This window comes from Homo sapiens, chromosome 6, assembly GCF_000001405.40.
Source record: "Homo sapiens chromosome 6, GRCh38.p14 Primary Assembly".
NCBI lineage: Eukaryota > Metazoa > Chordata > Mammalia > Primates > Hominidae > Homo > Homo sapiens.
This window is the reverse complement of record NC_000006.12, coordinates 100701356-100717575: the sequence shown is the minus strand read 5'-3', so window position 1 is coordinate 100717575 and position 16220 is coordinate 100701356. Positions and strand designations below refer to the sequence as shown.

Below are 16220 nucleotides of genomic sequence, written 5' to 3'. Positions count from 1 at the left end.
GCATTTCTAAAATTCTATGCTTTAAAAAGTTTATCTAATTTTAAAATTAGTACTACCTATACTATTCACACTATTAGAGTACTTATGATAGGCTTATTTTATAATATGAAGGAAAACATTACTTAAAATTTAAACAATTATCATCCTATTCAACAACACCTATTTTTTGTGTAGAAGGAATAGTTTTAGGAAAATATTTACAGGCCTTTTGACATTTTTAATAAAAGAGAACAAGATAAAATCATGTTACTATGTCAACCTTAGTCTTTAATGTATTACTGTCACTTCTTGTCTAAAAACAATTTCATTAGTAAAATAGAGCCATTTTTACCTTGTACTATTATAGGTAAAATATTCACCTAAAAATATCCAAAGTGACTGTTACCATAATACAACAGTTAATGTCCTGTAACTGCATTGCATGAATGTTAGGTGTCTTTAGAATTCTAGGGAGTCATTTTAGACTTGTACACAAAGGGAGAGTTTATGATATACAATTCTGCATATTTTAAGCTTCATAATTGTTTCAAGTGCTGCTTTTCAGAAATATTTGCTGCTTGTTTTTTTCAGTTATGTTTCAATATAATTTGATTATGTAGTTCATTTTTAACATATCAGTAGGATAGATGTAGACCTTCTTTTATAGCTTTAGAATGTTTTCAGCTTTATAATTTAAAAGATAAGCAGATGATTATCACAGAGAGATATAAAGAGAAGACAGTTGTTTCACATGCTTGTCAGCCACCTTAAACCTTATTTTCTTTCAGTTGCATCATACAAATTGTTAAATCACCTAAAGCTAATTAAATCCAAAGTATATTTCACTACAGTACGTTACCATCATAATCATGAAAGGAATGGGAGAATGATGTGAGTGTTATGTCTAATTTGGAATAATGGCTTTGGCCAGAAATGAATCCAAAGTACACTGAAAAAGTTATTGGGAGTTTTGTCTTTTGTAGAGGGTGGGGATTGTTTTTAAATTATTCATGAGGAGTAAATTATCCTATGATCATCTCATCCTACTTAGCCGTTATAGGTCATAAGAGTTCCAGTATTTTAAAATGTTTACATTAATGAAACAAAAAATCCAAATCATTGTCATTTTAGATGTACATGATGCTTTTCATCCTCTTCTAAACTCTTACTAATACATGTTAAGTGGAGAGATAATAGGCTGGGTCACATGCCTACTCCTTTGGGTTAGCCACCTTACCTTTTTGGTTAGAAGCTTTCTCATCATTAATAAGGAATATGAGACCCTTTTAAATTTTTTTAAATTGATACATAGTAGATTTACATATTTTCTGGGCATATGTGGGCATAATACATTCATAATTATATGAATACATTGATAATTATATGCATGTATTAACTTACATGAAAATCTTCGGTCAAATCTATTTGACTGAATATCAAATTAGTTTAATTGGGATATCCATAACCTTAAATACTTAGAGACCCTTTCTTAATTCATAAATTTTATATTAGATTTCCAATTAATCTGAAAAATGTTTCTGTAGAAGCATTCTGAATAGCAACCTCTCTCAATATACATTACAGAAATAGTGTGTTACCTTATGTTTTAGCTCTGTGTGCCATTTGACACTTGATCCGTAGTGTTCTCGCAACATTTAGAATCATACAGGAAAGGTGTGCTCTATGGTTTATATAATGAAATATATGGAAAATAGCCTGGAGAATGGGCTTCTCAGAAAAGCAGAGAGAACTTTAAAAATTATTCTAAAATATTTGTAACTAACAAGAATATCCTTAAAGATACTGTATTTTAAAAACTTGGTGGGTTTAGAAAGTTAGTACTCAGAAACTATTATCTGAGTTACTCTATTTGTACTTTTAAGTTGCGTTGCATATTTTTTAATGGATTGTTATATGTTATATGTTTATGAGGTATTTGATACCTCTGCATTCTAGATAGCCTGAAAGCTTAAAAAATGCATTGTAATTGGCAAAATTTTATTTGTAGTTAGAAAGTTTATAATTGTTTCACATGATTTTTTTTATGTTTTAAAATCTTCAAGATGCAGCAGTTGAATAACATGGATGAAGTATGTTATGAAAATGTTTTGAAGCAAGTAAAGGCTGGACACCAGGTACACTTATTTTATCTGCTTTTACACTTATTTATCTGCTTTTAGAGAGTGCTTAATGATAAAAATTATTAATATTTACGCTCTTCAGAAGAAAATTTTTCTTTAATTCTGAGGCAATGACTCAGAGGTTCTAATTCTTAATAACTGCTTTAGCCCAATGGGTAAGTCATAAAAATATTCATAGATATTATCATCCCAGTATTGATAGGTCGTGCTATTTTGTTTGCCATTTTTAATTTTAAATATTATATTCTTACTGTTTTCATGAAGCAATATCAATTGAAATGTAATATATATAATAAAGTTCTGTATTGTTTGATGGTGTTTAGAAATTAAGCACTTTTATTTTTTAATTCTCCATGTTCAATATACTCCCATCAAGATTGTTAAAGACAAAGTGAAGTGATAATAATTGCTTATATAAAAATTGTCCACTTCCCAATTGTTCACGGTTCTTTGAATAACTTTATTATGTCATTTCTTAAAACAATGTGAGCCTTTTATGACATGTAAAGTGTTTTCCTGGCCTTTAGGTTGTTAAATTCCTTTTAAGAGTAGTGAAACCTTTTTTTCCCAGACTAAATCTTGTTTGCAACTCCAGTATATAAAATAAATCAAAGATGATTTGAACTTGAGAGCATGGGACACTGCCTCCTTAAACATTGGAACACTGAGCATTCTTGAGGCATTTTTTCTGTTTTTAGGAAATAATTTTAAAATCACATTCATAACTAATCTCTAGAGATTGTGCTTGGTTTTAAGAATAACTTTTTCGGAAATCACAAGTATTTTAAGTTGTATACTAGCAAGAATAATAGTTGCTAACCTTTTCTAGTTCTTAATAAATGTATGAAGCTGGTAAGATTATCTTATACTTACTGACCAATTGAATTTTCTCTGCAACCTATGAGGCAGGTACTATTATCTTCACTTGACAGATGAGGAAAATGGAGTTCTTTGCAAAATAAAGTAACATGTTCAGGTCATTCTGCTAGTGCACTTTCAGATCCAGGCCATGAGCTGCTAACTATTGTGACATATCACTTTCTTTGCATTTATTTTATGTCATTGTTCTCCTTTGACCCTCATAAAAAACTATTTTGTGAGTTGCATTATTTATCATTTTAAAAATAAAGAAATATAAAATGCCAATATTCTTTCTTTAAATTAAAAAAATCCTACTAAATAAAAACTATTTGTTCTAGGTCAGAGGCTGGCAGAATTTTTCTGTAAAGAGTCTGATAGTAAATATTTAAGGCTTTATGGGCCTTATGTTTTCTGTTGCAGCTCCTTCAACTTTGCTATTTAGCATGAAAGCGGCTATGGACAATATTTGAACAAGTGGGTGCAACTGTGTTCCAATAAAACTTTATTTACAAAAATAGGCGGCTTGCTGGCTATAATTTACCACCTCTGTTCTGGATTGCCTCGTGAGGTTTTATTTGTAGTGTATGTGTGATGATCCCAAAATGCTGTCTAGAGAAACTTTTGAAAGCATTTCAAAAAAGATTCTAATGGAATGTCCCGTATAGCCTTCTTTGCAAGAGTATCATAAATTCAGTGTAAGTAGCTAGATGTTATCACCATGCACATTTATTTCCAAGTTTTAGATTAGAAAATATATAAACTATATTGTTAGCTAAGGAATGTACCTGTGGTCTGTAAACTCTTTTTGTATAGGGAATATCAAAAAGATTCAGTAAATATTTAAATGTTTTCTCAATTTAGTTTTTTTAAAAATACAGTTTTTTTAAGAGAAGTTTTAGGTTCACAGTAAAATTGAATGGAAAGTAGAGTTTCCATGTGCTCCCTACTCCCACACAAGCACAGTGTCCCCAGTACCAGAGGGATAATTTGATTCAATCAATGAACCTACATTGACATGCAGATGTTACTCAAAGTCCACAGTTTACGTTAAGGTTAACTCTTTGTTTTGTACATTGCATGAATTTTGAGAAATGTATAATTACATGTATTTGCCATTATAGTTTCATACAAATTTGTTTCACTGACCTAAACATCCTCTATGTTAAGCCTGTTTTTCTGTCCTCCCGCTTAACTGCTGATCTTTTTACTCTCTCCATAGTTTTGTTTTTTTCTGGAACATCTTGTAGTTGGAACCACATAGTATGTAGCCTTTTCAGATTAGCTTTTCTTCACTTAGTGATAGGTATTCTAGGTTCCGCATGTCTTTTCATGGCCTGGTAGCTCAGTTCTTTTTGGTATTGAGTAATACACCATTATCCTGGTGTGCTAATTTGTTTATCTATTCACCTGCCAAAGGACATATTGGTTGCTTCCAAGTTTGGCAATTATAAATAAAGTAGCTGTAAAATCCATGTGCAGGTTTTTGTCCGGACGTAAGTTATCAACTCGTTTGAGTAAATAATAAAGAGTATAATTGCGCTGGGCATGGTGGCTCATGCCTGTAATCTCAGCACTTTGGGAGGCCGAGGCAGGTGGATCACGAGGTCAGGAGATGGAGACCATCCTGGCTAACACGGTGAAACTCTGTCTCTACTGAAAATACAAAAAAGTTAGCCGGGCGTGGTGGTGGGCGTCTGTAGTCCCAGCTGCTGCAGAGCCTGAGGCAGGAGAATGGCGTGAACCTGGGAGGTGGGGCTTGCAGTGAGCTGAGATGGTGTCACTGTGCTCCAGCCTGAGTGACAGAGCAAGACTCCGTCTCAAAAAAAAAAAAAAAAAAAAAAAAGAGTATAATTGCTAGATCATATGGTAGGAGTATGTTTAGCTTTTTAAAAAACTACCAAACTATCTTCCAAAATACCTATACCATTTTTCATACCCATTAGAGAATTTCTGTTGTTCAACATCCTCACATCCTTGCCAGCATTTGGTTTTGTCAATATTTTGGATATTGGCCATTCTAAAAGGTGTGTAATGGTATCTTGTTTTAAGTTGTATTTTTCTAATGACAAGTGATATTAAGCGTCTTTTCATATGCTTGACATTTGCCCATCTTCTTTGGTGAAATGTCTTTTCAAGTCTTTTGCCCATTTTTAACCAGGTGGTTCATTTTCTTATTGTTGGGTTTTAAGAGTTCTTTGTATATTTTGTTAACAGTCCTTTATCGGGTATATATTTTGGAAATATTTTCTTCCAGTCTGTTACTTGTCTTCTCATTCTCTTTCCTCTTATTTCTCTTAGTGTTTTTCAGCAGAGTTATAAATTTTAATAAAGTCCAGCTTGTCAATTATTTCCTTTATGTCTTTGGTGTTGTATATAAAGAGTTACTGCCATATCCAAGGTCACCTTGATTTTCTGTTATGTTATCTTCTAAGACTTATAATTTTGTGGTTTTCCATTTACTTCTTTGATCCATTTTAAGTTAATTTTGTAAAAGATATGAGGTCTGCGTCTAGATTCATTTTTTTTGCATATTGATGGCCAGTTGTTTCCAACATCATTTCTTGAAAGACTATATTCACTCCTTGTTCCTTAGTCAAAGATATGTTAACTGTATTTATGTGGGTCTATTTCTGGGATCTCTGTTCTGTTTCATTAATCTGTTTGTAAGTCTTAAAGTCAGATAGTGTCTGTCCTCTGACTTTGTTTTTCTCTTGCAATATTGTGTTGGCTATTCTGGGTCTCCATTTAATTTTGAACTGTGAATTAATAACATTTTGCATCATAATTTTTAATTGTGGTGGCATTTCTTCCATCACAAGAGAACCTTTTCTAGTCTATGATAGTTTTTTGTTTTTTGTTTTTTTGAGACAGAGTTTCACTCTTGTTGCCCAGGCTGGAGTGCAATGGCACAATCTCAGCTCACCACAACCTCCACCTTCCGGGTTCAAGTGATTCTCTTACTTCAGCCTCCCAAGTAGCTGGGATTACAGGCATGTACCACCACACCCGGCTAATTTTTTTTGTATTTTTAGTAGAGACAGGGTTTCACCATGTTGGTCAGGCTAGTCTTGAACTCCCGACCTCAGGTGATCCACCCACCTTGGCCTCCAAAAGTGCTGGGATTACAGGCGTGAGCCACCATGCCCAGCCCTATAGATTTCATTATGAATGAGTACTCTTAAATATTTCTTCTCTTTTTAATTAATGGAAATTAAAATATAAATACTTTACTGTGGGACACATAGTAGATATTTTATCTTTTTAATCTAGTCAGGAAAATACCTACCACATCTTACGATATCTTTTGTAACTGATCAGACTTGCATGCATTATGAAAAAATCTTAAGAGGCCACTAATAGAAATGTTATTGTGTTGCCCCTAGAAATTAAAGCAATTGTTATTTTTCTGTCATAGTTAATGCTTAATGACCAGGTAAGGAGGTACCTGGTACTTTAGTATGGAACATAGGATTGCTTCGCATTAGAATAAGTTACTTTTTTAGAGTAAAAAGAGAAATTTCTGAAAATTTTTTCCTATTGAGATTGATAAATAAATGTAGCCATGTATAAACACATAAATAAACATAGACTATTGTAAATTCAAGCTTATATGAGTAAATAGTTTAATAATGCTATTACTGCCAGTACCACAGCTATTTTGAGGCTTTAGAAGCTACGGGTTGCTTAGCCTTTTAGGGTTATAGCCTTCATCATACTATTTATAATTATTATTGAAACGTATTTGTTATATGACTCTAGCTTTTTTATTAAGATGATGTTACATTTTAAAATATTTATTTAAAAAATAAAATGCAGCTGTATCCCCAAATGTTGGGAAAAGTAGCAGTTATATCTTCTATTTTAGATAAAAACCCAAACATATGTTGTAATATAGGGGATCCTAGGAGAACTTTCCTCTCTATCTCTTCTGTTATAATTCCCTCACTGTAGTAGGGACTAAGATGCCCCCTTAGGAATCATTAATTATAAAACTTGGATGCTGGCTAGGGGCGTTTAGTCAGTAGAGATGAGATCTTACTGCCAGCTCTTTTATTTTTATTGTAAATCCATTCATTGCCTTACTTTTCAAAATGAAAGGTGACTGAGGAGGGCAGGCTCTTACTATGGTAAATTCTGATAGGACAAAGTCAGTTGGAGGGCTAGTTTCACAGTAGTTGTGCATGGTTAGAAAGGATAGACTTGGATGGGATACCCAAGAGAAGTCTTCAGGTTACCAGGGGCTGGTTGCTCTAGGGCATGAAGAACTTAGGAATGGAGAATGCACACAGCTGAGGCAGAATTTAGAGATAAATATCACCTCTCCATCTTTTGTGTGCATATTTTTCCATCCATGAGCTCTTTAAGAATGTGTGACTTCTAAGTTATTTTCTTGTCTGGCTAAAAATGCCCTGTGGGTAATTGTGTAAAGTATGATTGCAGTTTAAGAGTCTACTAACAAACTTTTGGATCTGAGATCGTGTCCAGATTTGTATTTTAGTGCCTTACTGCAAAGAAGAATTAGAGCAGGATAACTATGATCCTTCTTTAAGATGCGTGCCCTAAGAAGTAAGGTTTAGTATACAGGTCTCACAGTTTCTGTTTTTGAATGATTAGTGATGACATTCGTTTTCCGTAAGAGTGGGACTTCAGGTTTTGTAGAAATACCTACATATCTCCTATACTGTTTGTTAGCTATAAAAATAAAATGACAATATTAAAATTGTTTATAGTTTTCTATTATTTTACCATTTTAACATTGTAATTGCAGTTTTATACATTTTCCATTAGTCTTTTATCCATTCACACATGTGCCTTTTAATTTTGCTCCTTCAAACTTAATATTAATTATTAGTTATACTGCATTACTAAATTATAATTATACCATATATACAGTTTTATATTCACTTTTTCTTAATGAATAATAAACATTTTTTAATGTTTCTACATGGTCTTCACAATTTTAATGTTTGCAAGAGAGAAAAAGGAATCTTTATTCAGGTTCTAATTTTCAGATACCATATAAGTCTCTTTGGACTTTTAACCTTCCCAGTCCTCTGACATAACATGATTATTTCTCTTTGTTAAAGGGAGAAATGAACCTAAGGCATGTTAAGCAGCTTCCCAAGGTCACAGAGCTAGTTAAGAGAGGCACCAGTACTTAAATGCAGGTGTTTGTGTTGATAAAACCCATAATGTCTTCAGAACTTGACACTGTCCCTTTGAAATTAAGCTGATATTGGTTATTATTGGTTATTCCTCCATTATTAAGTACGTTAAATGTTTGCAGTTTTCTGTTATTAAAGATTATGCTACTGTAGTGATTATCTTTCTACCTGTTATTTTTGTTTAAATATTTACTTTAAATAAATTTCCTAAAATGGACTTTTGGCAGAAATGGCCACATTGTGTGGTCTTGCCGTATGACCATAATGTATACCCAATGAATTAAAACATTTTGTTGTCACAGGAGACCTACATAGGATTTTATAAACATAGGCCATTTCTTCTGAATACTGTTATCAATCTAGTGCTATGTAAGGTTATGATCTAATGTATGTTTGCCATTTTGGATTTTTTTTTTTTTTCGGTCTTAAGGCATAGAAAACAGAGTGATGTCATACCAGTGAAGTTTTTTCTTAATTGGCAATTGTTACCTCTAAATCACGATTGCAATAACACATGTATTGCACACGATTTGTTCATGTATTGGTTTGGATGTACACTTATTTTCAATTAGTAAAATCTATTCTTTCTTGCATTTTTGTTTTATACTGTGACACTGTGGTCTTTTAGCCCCTGAATTTTTTTAAGTGTGATTTAAATATGATTAACATATATATCCTAGCCAGTTGATATGTATTTTGCCTGTTGACATGGGCAATATTGACATTTTGGACAGAATAATTGTGTTTTGGGGGATGGAGGGTGTGTCCTGTGTACTGTAAGTTGTTTAGCAGCATCCCTGGTCTCTACCCAGTAGATGCCAGTGGCTCTCCCCGCTCCAAATATCACAACCCAAACTGTCTCCAGACATTACCAGATGTTCCCCGGGGTACATAAGTGCCCTTGGTTGAAAAGTGTTGTTTAGAGGGATGTCTCTTGAGGCATCCCTGAGATTTCTTTCCTAGTGAATGTATTTTCATCTAAATGTGTGTAAAATTTGCCAATGATGAATATTAGGACATCGTGTAAGAAAGAACCAAGATATAAATTTATCTCAACTGGGCAGTATTCAAATTCAACATCCTAAAATTTCTAATGGATAAATGTAAAGTCCTACATTTAAACTCAAATAATAAATTTCATAGGTATAAATTAAAGAAGCATTGTCTTGGAAAAAATAATTTTAGTTGAATAAATTCACTTTAATTCAAACAAGTATTATATACACTTTAAAAAACTAATGACACCTTAAATGTCATCAGAGAGAAAAAAGTTCAAATCAAGGAAGGTGAAAACTTTGTTGTAATTTGGTTTGTTACCAAGTACTGTGGTCATTTTGTATCATATTTTGAGAATAGAGGTTCAAGAGAAGGTTATTACAATTGTGAGAAGTTGGGAATACATATAATTTGAGTTAATGGTCAAGAGAAACCAGAATGTTAAGATTGCAGGAGAGAAAATCCAGGTGGGGTTTGGGGGAAAGTGGTGGTAATGGAAAGGCTGTCATATGAAAGGAAGGTATGTTCTATTTTGCACAAAGAGATTTAGAACCAATGCATGGAAGTTCTGGAGAGCTAGATATAAGGAACTGCAATTTTTCTACAGTGAAATAGACTGAATTGCAAAGGAGCTATCCTTCTTTTGACCATAGCTGGACAATGCTTTGTCTAGGATACTGTAAAAAGTGTCATCTACATTGGGACAATCATCGTGAACCTCTAAAGGATTCTTAATTTTAAATAGACAATTTTGTGATAATTCTACTCTCTTAGCAGTAGCTGCCTGGCACACTTTTGTTTTACCCTATTAAAGAGGTAAACTTTAATTTTTATCTTTTAATAAAATGTACTCAAACAAATAAATAAATAGATTAATACAAAAGAGACTGAATAAAGAAATAGTTTAAAGTTTAACCCTTAGGCATACCATAAACCAAACATGAAGGGGAAAAAATAATCACTGGTAATTCCACTACCAGAGGTAGCTTCTGTTGGTATTTGTCCTTCCATTTTATTGATGCATTTTATTCCCTTAATTTTTTTTCTTTTATTCCTATAGTTTATCTAATCTGTTGTATTTTTCTCATTCAAAAATATGACAGAAGCATAAATAGAAATGATAGCATTAAAATGTAAATAAATGCTTTGGTAAAGGGATTATATTTAAAATTTTTAATCAGTTCTTCTGATTTCTACAATGTTGTCCTTTTACTTTTTGTGTCCCAGCAAGACAGGTCCTACCACAAAAGACTGGGTTATAAGGAAATACTGTTGATTTAGTTCTCAGTATATCATCATATGCATGGGAAGTCTGTGGTAAATATGATTTGATTTTGATGCATTGTCTTGTCTTCAAAGTTTTAACATACTTGTGAGATGAGGATGATAGAAATATGAAACGCATCAGGACTATGGTCCACTAGTTGAAATTTGCTTCTAGTGTTGCTAGTATTACAGATGCCTAGGCCAATGCCTTCAGATTTTAAGTACTAAGCCAATAAGGCAATGGTCTTTTACATTAATGCAATCATCTCAACTTAAGAGCCCTTTTGCAACATAAGTGAAGAACAAAGTTCTATCATTTTTCATTTCTTGAAAGTACCTACATTATATGTTTAACTTTATAATAAAGTTGCCCAAAACTGAAATCTCTCTCTGTATCAGTCTTCTGAAAAGGCTTGCTCTGTTTAAGGTTTCTACTTGCAGGTTGATCTGCCAATACTATTTGGCCTAAAATCAGTTAGCTTACTATGTGGCAGCTTCTGCTGAATGCCTTTGTATTATATCCAGCACAGAAAATTGCCGAGTAGGTACTTGGAAAGCACGACTGTTAAACAATTTGATTTTGGTAAATATACCTATTTCAATAAAGTTGGCAACCCTTGATTTATTCCATCACACAAGAACTGGTACTTCATAGTAGTCATTGATTATTGAGACTCATTTAGAGGTTTGTTTTCAGGAACTTGGAACCTCGTAAAGGATTATTTTTTTCTTTGACCTTAACTAAGCTGTAGTGTTCTGTCTTCTGCTTGTATTAGAAGGTCAACAAAGAACTTCCCGGTAGAATAGTTTTTGAGTTGTGTTTTTTTTTAACTCATAATAATTGAGGTTGAAGTTAATGTTATCCCAGTCACTAGCTGTCTTTGTATAAGGTTTTAAATTATAACTTTAAGTAGGTGATTTGTATATATCCATCTGTCGGAAAATGAAAAAAATATAATTCAACAGTTTTTCACGTTATCTAAAAAACTGACAGCCCAATAAACTCTTCAATTTTATTATTCTAACTCTGATGACTGAGAAGTCTAACTATATGTGTATGTCATTCTGAGATTCTTTTCTGTTTAAATATTTTGTTATACATGTAAGTATGGTAAATTATGTATGTATACTATGTGCATGTGTGTATATATATGTAGAGAGAGAGATTTGCTTCTGGAATTTCATTATAGTTATAACTAACTACATATTAGTGCATTGTTATTAACAGTGGTCATGGTTAATAACAATATTACCAATAACAATGGTCAACGATAGCGCATTATTATTAAGCAGCCAATTACATATTTCATAAATATGCTTTCCTTTTTATTAAGGAAAATCAAGTTATTTCTTGTGGGGCTGTGTACGTAAACTGTTATTTTTCAAATATATCTTGGCAGTTTTAGTAATACAGTGTACAGCAGTAAGAAATATGCAGTCTATTCTAATCTAAGTAAACTAATTGAATTTTTCCTGCTACTACCTCATGCTGCCTGCCCCTTCTTCCCCACAATCAGTTAAAAAAAAGTGAATACTCTTCGGAATTTGCTTTTTTCTTGCCTTCAAGTTGTTCAGTATCTTGGATTTCTCCCTGGTTTGGTTTCCTTAAGTACTTTGGTTTTATCAGAGAAGCTACGTTTCAAACCATTAGTGAGAAGACTGAAATACATGTCCATTCGAAAACAAAAGAACTATGACTCTCAGGCAACTAAACACTTTTTAGGCAAAAAATTAACAGTTTTATCTTAAATAAACAAATGAATTCAATTTGTTTCTCCTTATTTGGATTAAAACAAATTTCTTGTTCAAAAACCATGCTGATGTTCTCTGATCATACTATTCCATGGGTTTTAGTGATCTAAACTTGCGTGCTCGTGTACTTAATAGATTTTATGTGCAACTTTGCCTTAAAAGTGTTAAAAACAGTAGGAGGCAGTTGTGTTCCACTCAGGCATGTGTGATGACAGATGGAGAAAATCTTTTCATGTTGACTTTTCAACAGTCCTACTCTGCAAGACTTCAAGCTCTTCTTGGCTATTGGGAAATCAAAAGTTGGCGATTCAGCCTTTAATTTTGATCCATCTGCTCAAACTAATGAGACGTCTCATTTGTAAGCTTCTCTTTGTGTTACCAAATGCAAGTACAGCTTTATCATTCCGGCTAATAATTCCCCTCCTCCTGTGTAACTTGCAGAATGGGAAAATAATTAATGCCTTAACTCTATTGAGATTTTTCTTGTTATACAAACTTTGTTACAGTTATAGGAAAAGAAATTAGAAACTTCCTCAGAGATTATGGCATATTTAGTAAGTTAATTTAGGTTCTTTTCCATATTGTCAAAAAAGTTAAATTCTTTGCAGCTTCTTACTGAAAATCTACCTTCAGTTTTAAGGAATAAAAGGCCTTGTGATACTAAAGACAAAAAAAGTCTTCTTCAACCTTGGATTAATGCTGAACATCAGCCTTTGTTTAGATGTGTGTCTTATTTTCTCTTTCCTCATTGTTTATAAGTTGTTAGTAGACATTTCTATTTCTAAGAAATCACCTTTAAAAATTGACTAATAATTATAGATTAATTTATTACTATCTGAAGAAAATTATTTTTATTTCTAATCATTATTTCTTAGTTTAATTATGTAAATTAATTATGTAAAAATCAAAACAAATTCCATCATGCTAACTTAAATAATGAAACTTTCCATTGGCCCTTTGCCTATAAAGTTTATATTCTCCAGATATAATAAGCATCTCTAATTCTCAGTACTAGTGTTTCTGCTATATCAAATTTGCCTCGCATGACTTTTATTTGTGAATTATTTGAGTGCTTCTTTCTTTACTCCGCTTCCCACTTTCAACTGAGATGTAATTCCAAAGGAATATAAAAGCTAGAGTCGAAGGAGACATTTTAATTAGGAGCACAAGAATTAAAGATATTTCTCCTTCATCTTTACCACTAAAGATAGTACTACTAAAGAAATATTTCAGGTGTTTTTTAAGTACAAGAAAATCTAAAGGAATCATTTTCTAAACGTCTACTTTTAAAAAAGTGAAAAGCTCTGTTGAGTCTTCTGTCAAATTGAAATTCCCCTATCCATATTGCACAGGCAAAAAAAAAAAATACTTCTTGGTAATGTTGAGTTTTCTATTTTACTTTTAAGTTAATATTACAAGTATTTGCTTAGAATTTTAAAACTTTCCTATATATAAGATAAAAATTTCATTAATATATTTGTATATAACTAATATATAAAAACAATAGTTGATACTTGATGTACTTTTTCATTAACAGTGGCCCTTTTATAGAGAGAAGAGGATAAGACATTGAGGTTATACATTTATCCATTTATTCATTCCTTTGTTAACAGTCATTTGTTATAGACATTCTATGGGTAAGGTGTTTGGAAGAGTTGGAAGTGCATTATCATCCTATATGGGCCAAATGCCAGATAGTTGAAAGTTAACATCAACATTTGGTTAAAGTAAAGGCCAGAAGAAAATATCACCATCATAGAAGGAATTTCTAGTAGAATATAATGAAAATTTATCAAAGAGAATTTAATTATAATTATAAATTTAGTAGTTAGATTTTAAAAATTGGACATTGTAATTCAAAAGCAATAATTTCTTAGCACCGTAAGCTGCTAGAGTAATCTTGTCATTAATATACTGCATATTGGGGATACTAATAAATGCTCATTTTCAGCTGAGACCAGTAGAAGAGCAAGACTTATTTTACTGTCACCAAATTATTAAGCTATTCTTTCTCTCTGATAATAAGTTACTTAAGTAAGTATTTGTCTCTTCTCTCCTAATCTTGAAGATTTGGTCATTGCTAAATGGTACTGTTTTATTTAAGCAAACTTACAAACTGAAGCTTTGTACAGTGTTTAAATATAGTGTTTTCCAAATATTTTTAGAAAGGGGTTGAAAATTATTGTCCTCTTACGTTTTTAAATTTCTATTATTTTTGTGTTTACTTTTTATTCTACACAATTATTTGAAAAAGCAGCTGCTCTTGAACAGTTCATTTAGAAGTATCAGTGGAGAATGGAACTGATTTTCAAGATGACAGAAAACATTTATGATATTTAGAAAAAAAAATCCAGATGGCATGTCTTGTTTATATTATGCTATTAGACTGGTCAAAAACTATGGTAATAAACATTATCACATGATCATTGGTCATGCCTAATTCAAGAACAGGAAAAATCATGTTGACCTAGGCATTCTGCTGTTCACACTTCCAAAACCAAAGCCAAAGGTGATTAGCACATTTTTAACTAAATATCAAGGAAAATTCAAAGCTTGATACACCCTCAATAAAAGGTTGTTTTTACAAAAAGATAAAATTCCCTGATAATAAGAGCTCACAATTGTGAATAAAATAATCAATAGATTAGGTGGAGGTTGTAGAAGTGGAAATACTTGCAAAATGCTGATTTTACCTTTTACCTATCTCCTTACTCTTTTTGACACAAAACTCTGTTTTTCTTTATCCTCTAATCTCTTTGCCCATTCCTCATTCTTTATAGCATTTTCCTTCTCTACCAGGCGTGGCCTTAGACCCTTTATAAATTTAGCTCTCTTTCTTGTGGTTTTATCCCATCCCAATTATGACCTTTATAGAACTACCTTACATATTTGTACTCCAAACCCAGACCTCTTTTCTGAGCTCTGGATCCATATGATCCTGTGTGGCTGGCCTTTTCTCTTGGGTGTCTCAAATACAGTGTATCTGAACCAAATTTGTAATCTCCCCCTACAAAATGGTAGTAATCTGTCATTCCTTAGCTTAGTGAATGGCATGACTATAGATTTAGTTCCATAAGCCAGAAACCAAAACATCATCCTTGTCAACTCTCTCTCCCTCAGTCTCATTTGTAAACCCTCACCAATGCCTATCTAGTTTACCTCCTAAGTATCTCTTAAGTCTGCCCATTTCTCTCCATTCCCTCCTCTTTCTGCCACCACTACGTAAGCCAAGCAACCATCATGTCTTTCCTGGACTACTCTAGCCACTTCTTAACTGCCCTGCCTGCCTTCATTCTGTCCCTCTTATTGACAGACTGTACATAGCAGCTAGCTAGACCTGGCTTTCAAAACACGGTTCCAGTATGACATTTAAATGATTAAAGTTCCTGTATAAGGGCCCAGTTATTCTCATATTGTTTTGCCATTACCTGCTTCTTCTTTACATATTTCTCTCTCTCTTTCTTACTTTCTCTCTCACTTCCACCTCCCACGCCTTCTTTCATCCCTCATCATAGTGATGCTCTTTTACTTTTCTTGGGGCTTTTGTACAAATTGTTCCCTATGACTCACACATCCTTATTCTCTTCACTTAGTTGTACTCTACCAAATTCTTCAGACTTCATCTTTCTCAGAGAAACCCTTTTTTTTAAACATCCCTGACTGTCACCTTCTTATTATAAGCTGTAATAACACTGTATATCTTATTCGTAATTCCAGCTATAGTTTTACATTTTTTGGCTTTTTAAAATTAGTGTCACCCTTTATTATAGGATCATAATTCCTATTACAACAAGGGCTGTCTCTGGTTTTGCTCACCATTGTACTGACATGCGTTGCTTAATGCATGGGGATGCATTCTGAGAAATGCACCGTTAGGCACTGTATTAGTCCATTTTCACACTGCTGATAAAGACATACCCAAGACTGGGCAATTTACACAAGGAAGAGGTTTTATGCACTTAGATTTCCACATGGCTGGGGAGGCCTCACAATCATGGCAAAAGGCAAGGAGGAGCAAGTCACATCTTACATGGATGGTGGCAGGCAAAGAGAGAGAGCT

At 32.8% G+C, this 16220-nt stretch overlaps 1 protein-coding gene across 6 annotated transcripts in view; it reads left to right on the top strand.

Annotated features, from left to right (window-relative positions):
• Nucleotides 1-16220, top strand: part of ASCC3 (activating signal cointegrator 1 complex subunit 3) — a 373136-nt gene that overhangs the window by 163754 nt on the left and 193162 nt on the right. For 5 of the 6 annotated variants that reach the window (NM_006828.4, XM_011535394.4, XM_047418108.1 and 2 more), the window contains one exon: nucleotides 2043-2114. In NM_006828.4, coding sequence (NP_006819.2) covers nucleotides 2043-2114 — 72 coding nt within the window. Of the gene's footprint in view, nucleotides 1-2042; nucleotides 2447-16220 lie in introns of those variants that run through there. The other variant, NM_001284271.2, reaches the window with a different exon arrangement.